The 19,816-nt window shown below is 38.3% G+C and overlaps 1 protein-coding gene across 11 annotated transcripts in view; it reads left to right on the top strand.

The window, feature by feature from the left end:
- Window positions 1-19,816, top strand: part of HEATR5B (HEAT repeat containing 5B) — a 103,478-nt gene that overhangs the window by 42,435 nt on the left and 41,227 nt on the right. For all 11 annotated transcript variants that reach the window (XM_047444812.1, XM_047444810.1, XM_006712035.5 and 8 more), the window contains 6 exons: window positions 646-805; window positions 1,420-1,609; window positions 3,914-4,083; window positions 9,165-9,309; window positions 13,018-13,257; window positions 13,764-14,015. In XM_047444812.1, coding sequence (XP_047300768.1) covers window positions 646-805; window positions 1,420-1,609; window positions 3,914-4,083; window positions 9,165-9,309; window positions 13,018-13,257; window positions 13,764-14,015 — 1,157 coding nt within the window. The remainder of the gene's footprint in view (window positions 1-645; window positions 806-1,419; window positions 1,610-3,913; window positions 4,084-9,164; window positions 9,310-13,017; window positions 13,258-13,763; window positions 14,016-19,816) is intronic.

The raw sequence follows: 19,816 nt of genomic DNA, 5'->3' as shown, positions 1-19,816 counted from the left end.
ATTTTTAAAACCAAACATAAGTTATTTTGTTTTTTAAAAATATAAAAATATTTCAAATAAGTCTTGGCTTTTCAAGGAATAATTAATATTAAAAATGAGTTGTCAAATTTTCTCTAAAATTAAAATAGGCTTTATTCAGTCAAATATATGTTTTTAACCAATTATTATTATTATTATTAATATTATTATTATTGAGACAGGGTCCTGCTCTATCACCCAGGCTGGAGTGCAGTGGCGTGATCACAGCTCACTGCAGCCTCACCTGTCAGGCTCAAGCAGTCCTCTCACTTCAGCCTCCCTACTAGCTGGGCCTACAGGCATGCGCTGCCATGACAGATTAAGTTTTTAATTTTTTTTAGAAATGGGATTTTGCCATGTTAGCCAGACTGGTCTCGAACTCCTGGGCTCAAGTGATCCACCGGCCTCAGCCTCCCAAATGCTGGGATTACAGGCATGAGCCATGACACCCAGCTGTAGTTATTTTAAATTGAAGTTCTAACTCCTGTTAGGGAGTGGAGAAAGAAGTAACTGATTATAATCTTTTCTTATTTCCCCAATAAATCCCAGTTTTTGTGTGACTTATAATGTTGTTGTTTTTATAGGGAAATAGCAAAGTTAGTGCTTGAAGCATAATCTTTTTTTCAGGTTGAAATCGGCTCGAGATGTTGTATCTAGGACTGGTCATTCATTGGCTCTTGGTTGTTTGCATCGTTATGTTGGTGGAATAGGCTCAGGACAACATCTGAAGACCAGTGTCAGCATTTTATTGGCTCTAGCACAAGATGGGACATCCCCTGAAGTCCAGGTATAATATAATTGGTTTTTTTATTACAAAAGTTTAGAAAATTTTTTGGAAAATTATTTGCTCTATGAAATAAAAATGACCGTGGTAAGTTGTTAGGACAAATATATTAGGGTTTGTTTTTGTAATAGTACATAGCAAGATTTTGTTTATCAGCCTAGTCTTAAAGTCTGTCTTATTCTGAGAATTTTACCCATTCACATACATTCCTTCAAACATATTTTCTTTTTATTGTGTATTATTCTGTGTACTTTTTTCCTCTTTTTTTTTATTTCTTTAGATTTGTTAGCTTGATCAAGTTTTTTTTTTAAATAACCATCCTTCTCTCTCTTCCTGTGATACCCCAACGTAGGTCCTGGGTCATTGGCTGAATCTTCTTGTGGACCCTTTGAATATTTTGTTTTTGTTGTTTCTTTTTAGACGTTATTATACATAAGTAAATATAACTACAGTGAAGATGAAGAATGTGTATGAAAACATCCTACAATCTGGATTTGCTACTTCACATTGTTAGGCCTAAAAATATTAAGAGTATACCCATGTAACAATTCAGTATACTCAATTCAGTACATTCGAATTCTTCCTTACAACTAAAATGAAATTATATTTTATTCTAGACTTGGTCTCTTCATTCACTTGCTTTGATAGTGGATTCTAGTGGTCCGATGTATCGTGGCTATGTGGAACCAACATTATCTCTAGTTCTTACCTTGCTGTTGACAGTTCCGCCTTCACATACAGAAGTTCATCAGTGTTTGGGTCGATGCTTGGGTGCTATAATAACTACTGTTGGCCCTGAACTACAAGGTAAGTAAATCATCTGAAATTAAGGAACCTAGTTAGATAATCAGTATCTTTAAATTTCCTGAATATCACCATCACATTACTTGAAGAAATTTTGTAATAACAATTACTATGTACTGAATACTTGGATTTACTGAAAGCCTGGCACTCAGCTTTTTACATGTGGCATTTTACTTAATCCCTACAAGAAACCTATGACATGATAATGTTTGTTGAAGTTTTGAGCAGAGAAAACATTTTAAATGAAATTTTACTTGGAGTCCCATGAAAAGAAAGTTAATAATAGAGTTCCTTTGGCCTAGAGTGCTATCCACATGTCTTCATGGACTTTTGCTTCATTTTTTTGAACTCTAAGGATTAGGAACATAGCGTGAAAAACCACTGTCATAAGGTAAATATTATCTAGATTTTGTTTTCTTTTTGCTAGAGGAAAAAGATATTAGCTAATTTTCTATGAGGAAGTAAACTGCGAGAAGATAAGTAACTTGCCTAGAGTTAGTCAACTTATGAGTGGCACATTTATGATCCTAAAGCCTATGTTTGTACCACTTAATTCCACTGAGCTAATTCTACTAATGGTTAGACTCCCAAGTCAGCAAATTATTGTAAAGATATCCTGAATATATAAACCACTTTCAGAGTTTTCCTTTTTCTCCTTTGTCATTTATTATATATGTTTTCAAAGGGTTGAGCTTTTAACATACATTATTTAATTCGGATAACAACCCAGAGACTGATATTATCTCTATTTTATTGATCAAATATTGAATCTGAGAGAGGTTAAGAACTTTTACAAGGTTTTGGAAACTAGTGAGTGGTTGGAGTAAGAAGTGAAGCCCAGATCAATTTCCGATGCTTGCATTCTTTTTTTTTATTTTGAATCTATTGCCCAGGCTGGAGTGCAGTGGTGTGGTCTCAGCTGACTGCAACCTCTGCTTCCTGAGTTCAAGCGATTCTCCTGCCTCAGCCTCCTGAGTAGCTGGGATTACAGGTGCCTGCCACTACACCCAGCTAATTTGTTGTATTTTTAGTAGAGACAGGGTTTCACCATGTTGGCCAGGCTGGTCTCGAACTCCTGACCTCATGATCCACCCACCTCGGCCTCCCAAAGTGCTGGGATTACAGGCGTGAGCCACCACACCCGGCCTTTTTTTTTTTTTCTCTTTTTAAGAGATGGGGGTCTCACTATGTTGCCCAGGCTGGTCTCAAACTGCTGGCCTCAAGCAATCCTCCCACTCCCATCTCAGCCTTGCAAAGTGCTGGGATTACAGGCACGAGCCTCCACGCCCAGCCCGTTACCGGCATTCTTAATCTCTATGCTATGTTTCCTCCATTTTGACAGATATTTTTAAAAAGAGAGGAAAAAGAAAAAGACTTAAAGAAAATGCTAGAAATTGAAAAATATGTGATTCCCCACCCCCCCCACCCCAGGGAGACAGAGTCTTGCTCTGTCTCCCAGGCTGGAGTGCAGTGGCGTGATCTCAGCTCGCTACAACCTCCGCCTCCCGGGTTCAAGCAATTCTCCTGCCTCAGCTAACTTGTATTTTCAGTAGAGACGGGGGTTCCACTATGTTGGCCAGGCTGGTCTCGAACTCCTGACCTCAGGTGATTCGTCCGCCTAGGCCTCCCAAAATGCTGGTATTATAGGGAAAAACAGGTGATTTAAATAAGCCGCTTGCTTAGACCCATTGTCCTCTTTGGGAAAGTGAGGATAGTTCTTCCTGTGAATGTCACAGGGATATGAAGACGATAAATATGTGCCTTTTATTAAGCATAGGTGTTTATCAAGTATTTTCAAAAGTGATAATGATAAGGCAATGCGTATAAAACTAGAATGTAGCTCTTATGTGATTTTTATGATTTCCTTATTTACATTTAAAGATAGGCATATAGGCCGGGTGCAGTGGCTCATGCCTGTAATCCCAGCACTTTGGGAGGCCACGGCGGGTGGATCATTTGAGGTCAGAAGTTCGAGACCAGCCTGACCAACATGGTGAAAACTCATCTCTACTAAAAGTACAAAAATCAGCTGGGCGTGGTGGCGCGTGCTTGTAATCCCAGCTACTCCAGAGGCTGAGGCAGGAGAATTGCTTGAACCTGGGAGGCGGAGGTTGCAGTGAGCCGAGATCGCGCCACTGCACTCTAGCCTGGGCGACAGAGTGAGACTCCATCTCAAAAACAACAGCAAAAAAAACCTGAATAATAATTGGATAGAATGGTTATTTAGAGGATAATTGTTTACTAGGAATATTTTTGGTGGTACTAATAAAATAATTATATTTTATATTTTCTTTCATTTTGCACCAGGGAATGGAGCAACAACTTCTACAATTCGTTCCTCTTGTTTGGTGGGTTGTGCAATAACACAAGACCATTCAGATTCTCTTGTTCAGGCAGCTGCCATATCTTGCCTTCAGCAGCTTCACATGTTTGCACCACGACATGTCAATCTATCTAGCCTTGTTCCTAGCCTTTGTGTAAGTATAGAGCTATTTCATTCATTGATTTTTAAGTTGTATTTTATTTTACATTTAAAAAATTTTTTATGGATACATACTAGCTATATATATTTTTGGGGTACTTGGGGTATTTTGATGCAAGCCTACAGTATATAATAATCACATCAGAGTGAATGTGGTATCCATCACCTCAAGCATTTATCATTTATTTGTGTTATAAATAATCCATAGTTATTTTAAAATGTACAATTAAAATTATTATTGACTATAGTCACCCTTTTATGTTATCAAATACTAGATCTTTTGTTTGTTTTTTGAACTTCAGTTGTCATTTTATGACAATTCATTTTATTCACTGGTGTTCTCTTTTACCTTTTAAGAAATATCTTGATGAACTGTTTATTTCCTTGCTAAGAATATATCACATTTGGGCCAGGCGCTGTGGCTCACACCTGTAATCCCAGCACTTTGGGAGGCTAAGGTGGGCAGATCATGAGGTCAGGAGATTGAGACTAGCCTGGCCAATATGGTGAAACCCCATCTATACTAAAAATACAAAATTAGCCGGGCGTGGTGGCGTGCACCTGTAGTCCCAGCTATTCGGGAGGCTGAGGCAGGAGAATCGCTTGAACCCAGGAGGCGGAGGTTGCAGTGAGCCGAGATCGCACCACTGCATTCCAGCCTGGGCGACAGAGCAAGACTCCATCTCCAAAATATATATATATATCACATTTTTAGTTTTCCTACTCGGAATTTTATTTCCTAAAGCTTGATTGATACTTCTGAGTATCTGTTGGTATCATTATAATTGTTAATTTATTCATTCATCAGATACTTATTGATAGCCTGTTATATGTCAGGAGCCATGCAACCTACTGGAGATACATTTGTGGGTGAGACAAGATCAAGCCTCTGTCATAGTAAAGTTTATAGTTTACAAAGGAAAATGGAAAAATATTATTTACAAATAAGTGCTATAAAAGCCTGGAAGAGAGCGTTAGCAGGAGGCCTATCATAATCCTGACATTCAGAAAAGATTTTCATTAAAAAATGGTATTTAAGGCCAGGCGCAGTGGGTCATGCCTGTAATCCCAGCACTTTGAGAGGCCAAGGCGGGGGGATCACCTGAGGTCAGGAGTTCGAGACCAGCCTGGGCAATGTGGTCAAACCTCATCTCTACTAAAAATACAAAAATTAGTCAGGGGTGGTGGCGGGTGCCTATAATCTCAGCTACTCGGGAGGCTGAAGCAGGAGAACTGCTTGAACCCGGGAGGTGGAGGTTATAGTGAGCCAAGATTGCGCCATTGCACTCCAACCTGGGCGAGAAAAGTGAAACTCTGTCTCAAAAAAAAAAAACAATTGATATTTAAGGTGTGATTTGCAGAGTACATAGGAATTAGTTTACAAAGGGCATGATATTGAAGTAGACAGCATTTACTTTTAGACAGGAAGAAAAATACATGCAAGGCCCTAAACTGGGAAGGGCTGTCATACATTTAAAGAGCCAATTAGTTAGTGTGATTAAGGCTGAGAGAGAAGACAGAGAGGTGGGACCTAGAGGAAATGATGAGACTGGACAACTAACCAGGTGACATATCACGCAGACTTTCTACATACATAAAACCTTTGGACTTTATTCTACAAGCAGTGGGAAACCATTAGAAGGTGTTCTCTGCAGGGGAGTGACATAATGAGATTTGCACTTTTTACATTTTGTTCTTGCTGCATGATAGAGAGTGGACTCTACAGGGTAAGAATTACGGTATTCTCGGAAGAAGATGGTAGTGATTTGCTCTAAGTTAGTAAGAGAATGGGGAGAAATCAATGGATTTGAATAATATTTAGGATGAAGGATTTGTTCATTAATTGGCTCTTAGTGGGGCATAGTTGGAGAAGAGGGTTAGAAGGATGTGGCCTAGGTTTTTGACTTGAGTATAGTAATGTAATTCCCTGAGATTGGCAACATCGGAGGAGGAGGGTTGGGAAGAGTGGATATCATTAATTCAGTTTTAGACACATGGATAGTTAGTTTTATGGGCCTGGAGCTCAGAAAAGAGAGGTCTGGTTAAAGAGGTAAATTTGAGAGGCATATGCATTTATATGGAAAACAGAGACGTAGGAGTAGATGAGATCACCAAGGAGAGAGTCATGATTGAGGAACCCAACTTGAAAATTTTAGAAAAGAGGAAAGGAGTCAGCCAGAAATATGTAGAAGCAGTTAAGAGAGATTAAAGAAGGAATAGAGGTTGTGTTGTTCACAGAAGCTAAGTGGAGTAGAAGAGTGGTGTTTTTGGAAAAATTGACAAGCTGATTGTAAACTTAATAGGGAAATGCAAAGTGCTTGTAAAGATCAATGAAGTTGGAAGATTTGCTATACTTACTATCAAGATTTACCATAATCTCCAGTAAGAAAGACAGGGTAGTATTGCAAGGATACTCAAGTAGACAAATGGAACACAACGGAGTGTCCAGAATTGGATTCACACATACACAGTCATATAACTTACGACTGTGGCACATGGTACCACTACAGTTCAGGGTGGATAGGATTATCTTTTCAATAAATATAGGGATTAAAGATACCATTGATTGTACTTTACAACTCTAATATCACAGATGTTAAAATGAAAAGGAAAAGTACACCTGAGAATAACTGCAGTGGGGTTTTTGAAAACACTTTGTAAAGTGGTTTGTTTCTTTCACTTAGGCTTTGCCAGTCACCATTTGTTGAATGTATTTTCTTAGCTACAATTCTCTGTAATTGTTACTAAATTAAAATGTTATGATGTTCTCCATATATGTTTTACCATTTGATTCTTACAGTAGTTGTGTAAGATGGGTGGATTGGATATTGTCCCCACTGTAAAAATAAAAAGGCAGAAACTTCAAGAGACTAAGTGACTTGTTCTTCCCATGTGATATGACCATGCTTGAACTTTGTAATTAGTTATGGAGTATTTGAAAGCTCCAAAATGTCTTTATTTTCAGGAAGAGGAATAAATAAAGTACTTTGTTGGCTGGGTGCGGTGGCTCACACCTGTAATCCCAGTGCTTTGGGAGCCCAAGGCAGGCAGATCACTTGAGTGCAGGAGTTTGACACCAGCCTGGGCAATATAATGAGACCTTGTCTCTACAAAAAATAAAAAAATGAGGCGAGAGGATCGCTTGAGCCCGAGAGGTTGAGGCTGCAGTAAGATGTGATTGTGACACTGCACACCAGCCTGGGCGATGTCTTTTTTTTTTTTTTTTTTTTTTTTTTTGAGACAGAGTCTCGCTGTGTCGCCCAGGCTGGAGTGCAGTGGCGGGATCTCGGCTCACTGCAAGCTCCGCCTCCCGGGTTCACGCCATTCTCCTGCCTCAGCCTCCCAAGTAGCTGGGACTACAGGCGCCCGCCACTACGCCCGGCTAATTTTTTGTATTTTTAGTAGAGACGGGGTTTCACCGTTTTAGCCGGGATGGTCTCGATCTCCTGACCTCGTGATCCGCCCGCCTCGGCCTCCCAAAGTGCTGGGATTACAGGCGTGAGCCACCGCGCCCGGCCGGCGATGTCTTAAAAACAAAACAAACAGCCAGGTGCGGTGGCTCACGCCTGTAATCCCAGCACTTTGGGAGGCTGAGGTGGGCGGATCAGAAGGTCAGGAGATGGAGACCATCCTGACTAACACGGTGAAACCCCATCTCTACTAAAAATACAAAAAATTAGCCGGGCGTGGTGGCGGGCACCTGTAGTCCCAGCTACTTGGGAGGCTGAGGCAGGACTATGAATTTTATGCAAGTATATCTTGAATTACAAATGCTATATTAATAGCCTAAAAATATACTATCTGGCATTGTGAAGGGGAGATATATTCCATACATGTGTTCTTCTCCATCCCCATCATTTGTGTCTGGGACTCTTTCTAAAAGATTACTTCCTTGCTTGAAAAGCAGCAGATGGAACATAATTTAATATTTTCTTCATGAGTCAGATTTATACTAATAATTATAATAGCTTACATTTGTTGAGCAGTTACCATGTGCCAGCCAGCATTGTAAGCATTTTACTTATTTACACCATATTCCTGTGAAGAGTTAATATTCCCACCTTACATGTGGGCAAATCAAGGCACAGAGGGGCTGAGTAACTTGTGTAAGGTGTCACAGGAATAAGTGACAGAGCCAGGATTCAAACCCAGTCTGGCAGCTGTGCCTGAGTTCTTAACTTTTATGCCATGTTGCATCTTATACTTTTATGTTTTAGAGTGTACTATATTCAGGGACCTTTCAGATGAAAAAAATACTGTGGCAAAAGGCCCCATTTTGCAATTTTTTCAGGTGATTATGTTTGCTTGATTTGGTTTTTTCACTTTGATAACCTCCTTTGCTTTCAAATATTATGGTGTGCTCTGCCCCCTAACTTTTCATTCACTACATTTGATCTCTATATACTTAAAAAATTTAGATGACAAAGTTGAATAGGACCATGTGTAAAATAAGATGTGCAGAAGATCCTTCTGGATTTTTCATTTAAGTATATTGTATGAGCTTTAGAGCACAGATCTTGGGACAATTATTTTGGCTACTAACATATTTTTTGTATATTTTATTAGTAGTAGTATTTTGTCAAAAGGCCATCATTTGACTGTATTTTAAACAACTGAGGTTGTTAAATGAAGAGCATCTTCAGAAGTAAGATGTTAATATATATTCATTAGGGCGGGGCACGGTGGCTCATGCCTGTAATCCCAGCACTTTGGGAGGCTGAGGTGGGCGGATCACGAGGTCAGGAGTTCGAAACCAGCCTGGCCAACGTGGTGAAAACCCGACACTACTAAAAATACAAAAATTAGCCAGGTGTGGTGGCAGGCACCTGTAATCCCAGCTACTTGGGAGGCCGAGGCCAGAGAATCGCTTGAAACCAGAAGGCGGAGGTTGCAGTGAGCTGAGATCACGCCACTGCGCTCCAGCCTGGGCAACAAGAGCAAAACTCTGTCTCAAAAAAAAAAAAACAAAACAAAACATATATATGTATGTATGTATATATATATTCATTGGGCAAATAAGATTAAAGAATTACAGCTTTTTAAAGAGAAATCGCCTAACATTGTTATGATTTACAGGTTCACTTATGTAGTTCCCATTTGTTACTTCGACGAGCAGCTGTGGCATGTCTTCGGCAACTTGCACAAAGAGAAGCAGCGGAAGTATGTGAATATGCCATGAGCCTGGCAAAAAATACAGGGGACAAAGAGAGCAGTAGTGCCAGTAAGTTATATTATTGGTCAATATTGTTTTTTGTTTAACTACTTTTACATTTCAGTTAAGTACTATTTATCAAATAACATTTTTCTGTTGCAATGTGGCCAGATGTCTTATTCTTTGAAATAAAACCATTACCACTTTTAAAATTCCAATGTGGTTTTCTTGATAATTTTGCATTTTTGCTTTTTAAAAATTTTTGCAAGTTGGGCATAGTGTTGTGTACCTGTAGTCCTAGCTACTCAGGAGGCTGAGGTGGGAGGATCACTTGAGCCCAAGGGTTTAAGGTTACAGTGAGCTATGGTCATGCCCCTGTGCTCCAGTCTGGGTGGTGGAGTAAGACCATGTCTCCTAAAGTAAGGAAGTAAGTAAATAAATAAGTAAAAAGTTGGGTGTGAGTGACTAGATTTAAAAAAAATTATTTGCAGCTTAAAAAAACTGAAAAGTATTTAGTATCAGAATATTTCTGCCATTTCTTGAGGATGTTTCAGGGGCACTTGAAGGTTTCCAGTTCTGGGTGGTAGTTAGCCTCTTGCGATGTAATTTTTCCTCTAAGAAGGTAAGACCAAAGTAGCCAATAAAACTATGAAATGTCAGTAGATGTTTGGTAGCAAAAGGATGATCTTTGCTTCCTTTAGTTCTTTCTGCTTTTTTGGAGGGTTTTAGGTATAGCTTAAATTCCTAGGTGGTCTTCTGCTATCTTTCTGCCTTTTTGGAGGGTTTTAGGTATAGCTTAAATTCCTAGCTGGTCTTCTGATATCTAGGTGTAGGTGGTTTGGAAACTTTTTAAGAGTTTAATTGACAGAGATATTTCCCCTATTATGAGGGAAATTTTTTACTTATAAAAGTTTTCTAATGCCTAGAAGCTGCTTGGATACAAAGAAGCAAGATACAAGAATAACTTCAATTGTAGCATAGCATAAGAACTTTATTAACAGATATACGGTATTGTAGAATATTAAAGAAGTTTATTATAAAAATCTACCAGTAGACAGTACTGTTTTTGGAGAGAAAACATCACCAAAAGTAGTTACAGAACTCTTCTGAATACATATAAATTTTCAGAACTTCTACATGTCAGTTGCCATAAACAAAATTGAGACTACTTGGAAGGCTGAGACAGATCACTTGAGCCCAGGAGTTCAAGTCCAACCTGGGCAACATAGTGAGATCCTGTCTCTTTAAAAAAAAAAAAAAAAAGAAAGAAAAGAAAAACAGAAAAACAGCTAAGATAGGGAAAAATATTTACAAAATATATTTTTATTAACTAATTTTATTTACTAACGTATGTATTTAATAAAATATAAAAGTGTTTAAAGCTTTTACAAATGAGTATGTTTGGAGTCCCCAAGATCACCCCCAGGTTTGATGATTTCCTGGGTGGACTCAGTGTATAGGCATTTTCCTGGCTGTGTTTATTATGACAAAAGGAATAAAAGGTGTGTAGGATGAAGTTAGAGGAAACCAGGCACAAGCTCCCCAGAGCCCTGTCCCCATGGAGTCATAGAGATCGCAACCCAGCAATGGATTGTGACAGCATGTGTGTAATGTATTCTCCCAGAGAAGCTTATTAAAGACTTAATGCCCAATGTTTTTATTGGGGGCTGATGCCATAGGCATGGCCTGCCTGGCACATACCAAAAGTTCGGACTCAGAAGGAAAGCAGATGTTCAACAGAAGCCACAGTTTAGGTACAGCGAGCCACTTTTATCAGGGAATTAATGGTGGGAAACCTCTAGAAACCCAATTCCCAGATGCTAGCCAAGGGCTAACCTTGCAATTAAGTCTTACTAAGGTAGTCTCAGGCCTGCAGTGTTAATTTGTTTTTGCACCTGGTAAAAACCACTAGAGCACATTTTATAAAGAAGAAATAACAAATATCTTTAACCTCCAGTGATTTAACAATTGCAAGTTACTATAATCATAAAATAGCATTTTTCTTCTATAAAAGTGATCAAGATTAAAAATAATAATTACAACCAGTGTTGGGAAAAGTGGGAATAGATATTTCTTGTACTACAGATAGAAATGTAGAGTCATGCACATTTTCTGGAGGGTTTTTTGGCACTATGTCCTTGAAGTTTTCAAAATGTGCTTACCCTTTGACCTAGAAATTCCCTCTTAAGGAATTTGTCCTCTAACCAATTAATTTTCTTTTAAGGAATTTGTCCTCAGTGATTAATCAATTAATTTTCCCTTAATTTATTGGTTTGCTGCATAGCCGTTAACATTCATACTATAGAAGTATAATTACTGAAATGGGAAAATATTCACTATCTACTGCTTAGTGAAAAAAAAGTCTCTGTGCCTAATCTCTTCCTAGTGTTCTCTTTTCTTGGAACCCTTTCATTTAACTTTTTCTATTGTTTTAGAATGTCACTCACTATGGCTATTTTCTTCAAACCTCCCCTTATTCTGTATTTGGGGTGACACAACAAAAATAGTTACCTTTCAGTTCCATTCGTCTGTCTTACTCCCTTCAGGGTTCAGTGGGCTCTAGACTTCAGAGGGCGTAATAATACTCATTCTTAAAGCCACCAGTTATATACCGCTGCTGTTTACAAGAATGAAAAGATTTTCTGATGAAGCAAGAAATTTAACCACTATTTCATGACAACATTGCTTTTTGGTTGTTGTTACTCTTTGGATTTTCCCAATTTTTATTTATTTATTTATTTATTTATTTATTTATTTATTTTTTGAGATAGAGTCTCTATCACCCAGCTGGAGTGTAGTGGCACGGTCTCGGGTCACTGCAACCTCCGCCTCCCAGGTTCAAGCCATTCTCCTGCCTCAGCCTCCCGAGTGGCTCGAATTACAGGCACCTGCCACTGCACCCGGCTAATTTTTGTATTTTTAGTAGAGGCAGGATTTCACCATCTTGGCCAGGCTGGTCTTGAACTCCTGACCTTGTGAACCTCCCACCTCAGCCCCCCAATGTGCTGGGATTACAGGCATGAGCCACTGTGCCCAGTGGAGTTTCACTCTTGTGGTCCAGGCTGGAGTGCAATGGCACAATCTTGGCTCACTGCAACATCCGCCTCTTGGGTTCAGGTGATTCTCCTGCCTCAGCCTTCTGAGTAGCTGGGATTACAGACACCCGCCACCATGCCCAGCTAAATTTTGTATTTTTAGTAGAGACGGGGTTTCGCCATGTTGGCCAGGCTGGTCTCGAACTCCTGATCTCAGGTGATCCACCTGCCTCAGCCTCCCAAAGTGCTGGGATTACAGGCGTGAGCCACTGCGCCCAGCCTTGGATTTTCCCAATTTTTAAATGAACTCTTAGGATGCAATCCACTTAGAGTTTGTGTTCTGGCTTTATAAAAATTTTAAAATCTGAACTATAAGACTGAATAAGTTTCAATTTATTCTTCTAACAAATACAATAGTTTTTTAGTTTGTTAAATATATTTAGCAGTATATCTCTGTCCCACACTTTTTCTTATTAGAATCAAGTATTTATTGAGAGTTCCCTGAGATTTGTTTACAATATCTCAGAATAATCAGTTTTACAGTTCGAGGTATTACTCTAATTGCCAGATTAAATTATAATCCCAAAGATATGTAAACTAGAGGCCATAGTTAAATTGTATATAGCTAGCTGGTTTTGTGGCTGTTGTGAATTTATATGTAAGACTTGGTCTTTATCATAATTGTTACCTATAGCGTACACCAAAATACCATACAAATTCATTTGTAAAAATTACCTTTCAGATGTCAGTCCTTTTGCCCCTGGGGTTAGTTCTCGAACTGATATCCATTGCCGGCACCAAGGTGTTAATATAACAGAAACTGGTCTTGAGGGACTTCTTTTTGGAATGCTAGACCGGGAGACAGATCGAAAATTATGTTCTGATATTCATGACACTTTGGGACATATGCTTTCTTCGCTGGCAGTAGAAAAACTTTCTCATTGGCTAATGCTTTGTAAAGATGTCCTGGCAGCTTCTAGTGGTAAGTATTTAATGTGCGTTCTTAAAATAATGGAAATTGTTTTACTTCTGATATATACATATAGATATATGTATAAAGATACATACATGTAAATTATAGGTTTTATTTAAAAGTAATAACTTTTGATCTACAAATCTCTGTCAAAATGTTGAAAGTTAAATTATGTTATAAACAAATGAGCTTTTTTATATTGTTGGGAAAATATATTTCAAAATTTTTTGGAAGTTCAAACTAAATTTTCATGTATAAAAACCCCAAGTTACTCTAGAGTATGACATAGTATGTAAAACTATTGAAATATTTAAATGTAGTTTACATAAAAGTAATTTATGTTATCTTTTCCTTGGCTTTTGATTGTTTAAAAAAAATTCTGCTAGTTTTACTGTTTTCCAGCAAGTAAGAATTTAGTCTTTTTTTAAATTAAAAAAATTTTAATATTAATAACTTTTTAAAGGATCATTTTTGCTTATGTGAGATTGTTACAATATTCCTTATTCTTGTTATAGATATGAGTACTGCAACTCTCTTAAGTAGTGGAAAAGATGAAGAAGCTGAAAAGAAAGATGAGATGGATGATGATACCATGTTTACCACGTTAGGTGAAGAAGATAAATCAAAGCCCTTTGTGGCCCCTCGCTGGGCCACTCGAGTATTTGCTGCCGATTGCCTGTGTCGAATCATCAATTTGTGTGAGAATGCAGACCAGGCTCACTTTGATCTTGCCTTGGCACGTTCTGCTAAACTTCGAAACCCTACAAGTAAATTTAAAATCAGTACTTTTTCCCCAAAGCATTTTTACACCTTGAGACATTTTGCTGCTATGAGATATTTTACTGCGACAGATATAGCGTGCTTTAGAATATGCCATTTATTTATTGTAAGTTCTCTTGCCTTTCATCTTAGTTTTCTGTCCCCTCTGCATACTAGTCATCTTCTGATTCCTATTGGGAAGATAAGTTGAAGAAGGTGGTCCACAAGATAGATTGATCTGTGTGTCTATTTAATCATTTGCCCAAAGGATAATGATGGCAGTTACTTAGGTTTTTCTCAGTACGTTGTCCTGGATTTTAGCATTTCAGCGGAAAGGAAATGGTAAAATTTTAAGGCATATAAATAAAGTGAGCTTTGCCGTCCCCAGCCATGGAGAGTATCAGAATTCATGAATGCACTGGTAGATTTCAAACTCTCAAATTTCAGAAGTGCTATTAGGTATTTTTGAAAAGGTGAAAATTGTTTATTATGGAAACAATTTTTATCTTATTATTTTTTATCTTTTGTAAACTTTTTATACCATGTATCCCCTGAATCTGTTATTATAGGGAATTTACAAAGAGACCATCAGACCCAGTACCTTCATTTCATAGTTGAAGAGACCCAGAGAAATTGAGAGGTGATAGAGTAACAGATTCCTTATCCTATAGTTTGTTGTCTCTTCATCACCCAGTCATTTTTTAAATATCTGAAGACAAATTGTATGTGTTAACAATATTGACGTCTATGAATTGAAAATGCCTTTTGGGTTATTTCATTGTGTATAAGAAGCAGCAGAGCTCACATAGATATTTTTAAAACAAACAGGCTGGGTGCGGTGGCTCATGCCTGTAATTACATCCCAGCACTTTGGGAGTCTGAGGCAGGTGGATCACTTGAGGTCAGGAGTTCAAAACCAGCCTGGCCAACATGCTGAAACCCCATCTCTACTAAAAATACAACAAATTAGTGGGCGTCCTGGCACATGCCTGTAGTCCCAGCTACTCAGGAGGCTGAGTCAGGAGAATCGCTTGAACCTGGGAGGCGGAGGTAGCAGTGAGCTGAGATCACGCCACCGTACTCCAGCCTGAGCGACAGAGCAAGACTCTGTCTCAAAAACATACAAACTGTAAAACAGTAGTACAACATGTATAAAATGAGACTCTGAATATAGGTAATCAGCAAAGCACAATACATCATGAACATAGTGTTTTTGTTCATGTAATTATTCAGCAGATATTTACTGCATCCTGTTTTTTGGTATATGGTAGGGATACATAGAAGAAAAAAACATAGTCCATACCCTGGAAGAACTTATAGCCTAGAAGACAGAGAGACAGACTTCTCAGTCAAATAGTTATGGCGTGTCCCAGTAGTAGTATGTTAGAGTACTTTGAGAACATTAAAAAACACATGGTATTCATTTCCTATAAAGCCAGGGAAGACGTCACAGAAGAGGTTATTTTGAAGATTAGTTTTAAAGGCAGAGAAAGGGTTAGAAGAGACTGGTGGCATTAGTTTTCTATTGCTGCTATAACAAATGCCCACAAACTTGGTTTAAAATCACACAAGTTTATCATCTTACAGTTCTGTAGGTCAGAAGTCCAACAAGAGTCTCGCTGGGCTAACATCAAGGCATCAGCAGGGCTGTGTTCCTTTCTAGAGGCTCTAGGGGGCATCCCTTTCCTTTTCTTTCCAGCTTGTATATGCTGCCCGCACTCCCTGGCTCACGGCTCCCTCTCTCTCTTCAAAGCCAGCAGCGTTAAATCTCTCTGATGCTTCTTCAGTCGTCACATGTCTCTGACTGCAGCCAGGAAAGGTGCTCTGCTTTTAAGGACTCATGTGATTAGACTGGGTCTGCCTTGATAATTTAGGCCAGTCTCCATGTTTTAGACTCCATAACCTTAATCACATCTGCAAAGTCCCTTTTGCCCTGCAAGGTAACATATTCACAGGTTCTAGGGATTAGGTGTGGAGATTTTGGGGTGCTAATATTCTGCCTACTACACTGGTTTATTAGAAGCAGAGGGATTCAACATGAAAAAGCTGATTGCCAAATAAATAAATAAGTAAATAAAAAGAATCAGAGGAAGTAAGAATTTGTAAAGCCAAGGAATCATAAGTGTGCATACTACATTTAGGGAATAGTGAAAATCCTTAGGTTGACCTTTCTTTCTTTGGATTTCTTAACTGTTATTTTTCTTCCTCATTGTGTCTTGTCCTTTTACCTTAGTTCTCAGAGATCCTCACAGGTTTTTTCTTTATACATTGATGTTTTGCTTTTTTCTGCCTTCATTAGTAATCTTAAGTCTGCTTTAATTTTTTTTAATTTTCCTGTAATTTGTCTACGTTTCTCCCACCTCCATTGTATCATATCCTTTTTACTCTCTAAGGTTTTCTGTTTTTATACCATAGCAGCCAGGATTCTTTTCATCCTATCGAGGATGCCGCATGATTTTTTTTTTTAATTCTGGTTTTTATAGAACACTGTTTCCAGAGATTAGCCATTTCTCTGAATCTTCAGAATCGTTCTTTTCCCTGGTTGCATTTTTCTTTAATAAACTTAATTGTTTATATATTCTTGAAAGAGAAGAGTACTCTCCGTATTTGGAATTTTCTCTCAGTGTGGAGGTGGATTGCCCATGTTCTCTGTTGTTCATGTATTTCCCATCTGTAGTTGGAGGGTAAGCTGTTGTAACAGCTCCCACCTAGATTCCAGTGTCTGACATATTTTGTTCTGGATCCTTTCTAACAGGATGCTTTCTAACATCACCGCCTGCCATTCTGATTCTGAACAGTCATGGCAGAGTATATGAAAAAGTATAGACCCAATAAATGTGCTATTCAGGCTCTCCTCTATCATCTTCATCTCTTCATCTTCCTATCTCCTATGCTTTAATTGTAGGGAATTACTACTCCCCAAATATAATACACCACCGAATTATCTTTCCACTTTGAAGTTTTTGCTCAGTCCCCTTCTCATTCCCACCTTTTCAAGAGTTCATTTCCTAGGATTTAGAAAAAAGACGGAGGTCTTGCTTTGAGGAAGGGTAGACATAGAGATGGGCAGAGAAGCAGCAGCACTCTGGTTGTTGGGGAAAGTGGCGCTCTCGTTCCAGAAACAATTACCTAGATTTTGGTTTGGTAGATTGATATAGTCCTAGACTTTGTAAATTAGGTGATAGAGTGCAGGAGAAATAATAGGTCTTTTTATTTACTTTTAGGTTGGCATAATGTAAGTAGACCCATTTTAATCTACTTTGTACTGCCTTGGGAATTTTCTCCCAAATTTTGGCAGTAGTTTATTATACCTCATTCTTGTTTGTTTGTTTCTCAATTTTTTGTTGTAGTAAAATACATATAACATAATTACCATCTTTTCTAGCTTATCAGTTGGGCAAAATTTTTTTAATTGACTTACAAATATATATATCATGTACAACAAGATGTTTTGAAGTATGCATACATTGTAGAATAGTTAAATCTAGCAAATTAACAAATGCATTACCTCACCTAGTTATCATTTTTGTGTGAGACCACTTAACATCCACCATCTTTGCATTTTTCAAGAATACAGTGTATTGTCATTAAGTATAGTCACCGTGCTATAGAGTAGATCTCTTACACTTATTCCTCCTATTTAACTGTAATTCCATGTACTTTGACCAACATATCCCCATCTTACCCTTAACCTCTGGTAACCGCCATTCTACTCTCTACTTCTGTTAGATTAACTTTTTTAGATTCCACCTATGAGTGAGATCATGTGGTATTTTTCTGTGCCTGACATATTTCACTTAACCTAATGCCTCCAAGTTCATCCATGTTGTCTCAAATAATAGGACTTTATTCTTTTCTATGGCTGAATAGTGTTCCATTATGTATTTATACCACATTTTCTTTATCAATTGATAGACACAGGTTGGTTCATATCTCAGTTATTGTGAATAGTCCTGCAGTAAACATGAGAGTGCAGATATCTCTTCAACATACTTAGTTCAAAACCTTGCTTTTACTGGTGGTGTGTTTTTGCTTCCTATAGGTGAGGAAGCACTGTGGGCTTCTAGCCAAATGTTTTGCCTTCTCTGCTTGCCTCCCACCCACAAAGCAACTGATATTCTTTTTATTTTTATTTTATTTATTTATCTTTTTCTGAGACAGAGTCTTGCTCTGTCACCCAAGGTAAGTGCGGTGCTGTGATCTCGGCTCACTGCAGCCTCAGCCTCCTGGGTTCAAGCGATCTTAGCGATCTTCCTGCCTCAGCCTCCTGAGCTGCTGACATTACAGGCACCCGCCGCCATGTCCAGCTAATTTTTGTATTTTTAGTAGAGACGAGGTTTCACCATGTTGGCCAGGCTGGTCTCAAACTCCTGGCCTCAAGTGATCTGCCCGCCTTGGCCTCCCAAAGTTCTAGGATTGCAAACATGAGTCAGTGCACCTGGCCAGATATTCTTTTTAAACTCAAGATTCTAAAATTAGTTTTTTTGGTAGGCACATGAAAAAATATGAAGATACACATCTTATAACTTTGACAACAACAGTGACAACAAAAACTTCTTTAAATAGGAACTGCTTGGGGATCAGGCTGAACCATAGATATGTCACTGCTTCAAAAAGACTTTGTGGGTTTTGAAGCCTCCTGAAGAACTTCATAGACCTTGAGCTTAATAATTTCTTTAGATAATTTGTGTTGCTAAGTCTTTTCAGTTCACTGATCTTTAGTATTTAATCTCTATTAATTTTATCCAGTGTAGTTTTCATTTCAGATATTTTACTTTATATCTCTAAATTCCCCTTTGTGATTTTTTTCTACCTTTCATTTCTCCCTTAGTTATTTTCGTGCTTTTCTTTTCCCTCTTTGAACATAGGAAACATATTGATAATAGCTATTTAAAGTTCCCTGTCTAATTATCTTATCTTTTTCATTTCTAGACTTGTTTCTATTCACTGATTTTTTTCTCTCTCTCTCTTTGTTGTGAGACATATTTCCCTACTTCTTTGCATTCTTGGTAATTTTTTATTAGATGTCAGACCCTGTAAATTTTACGATATTAGTGCTGGATTTTGATGTATTCCAAAATAATTTTGGACTTTGTTCTGGGATGTAGTTAAATTACTTGGTATCATTTTAATTATTCTGAGACTTGCTTTTAAACTTTGTTCATACAGATCCAGGACAACTTTTACTCTAGGGCTAAAAGGAAAAACATTTCCCTTTTCCATATCTTATTATAAAGGTCGTTTCCTTCTTATTTTGTAGATTTAAGTTTCCTGACAAGAGTTTTTCTAGAGATTGGCAGACTCCAGCCTACAGTCCAAATCCAACCTACAGCCTTTTTTGTAAATAAAGTTTTATTGGAGCACAGCACACTCATTTCTCTACGTATTGTCTGTGGCTGCTTTTGCACCTTAACAGTGGAGTTGAGTAGTTGCAATGGAGATAATATAGCCTGAGCCCAGGCATGGTGGCTCACGCCTGTTATCCCAGCACTTTGGGAGGCCGAGGTGGGCGAATCACAAGGTCAGGAGTTTGAGACCAGCCTGGTCAACATGGTGAAACCCCATCTCTATTAAAAATACAACAATTAGCTGGGCGTGGTGGTGGGTGCCTGTAATCCCAGCTCCTTGGGAGGCTGAGGCAGGAGAATCGCTTGAACCCTTTGGGGGCAGAGTTTGTAGTGAGCCAAGATCACACCACTGCACTCCAGCCTGGGCAACAGAGCAATACTCCATCTCAAAAAAAAAAATGATAAAAAGAGATAATATAGCCTATAAAGTGTGAACCAAAAAGTGACTGAAGCAGATATCA

This window comes from Homo sapiens, chromosome 2 (genome assembly GCF_000001405.40).
Source record: "Homo sapiens chromosome 2, GRCh38.p14 Primary Assembly".
NCBI classification, from domain to species: domain Eukaryota; kingdom Metazoa; phylum Chordata; class Mammalia; order Primates; family Hominidae; genus Homo; species Homo sapiens.
Note: the sequence above shows the minus strand (reverse complement) of the source record. Positions and strands in the feature narration are given on the sequence as shown.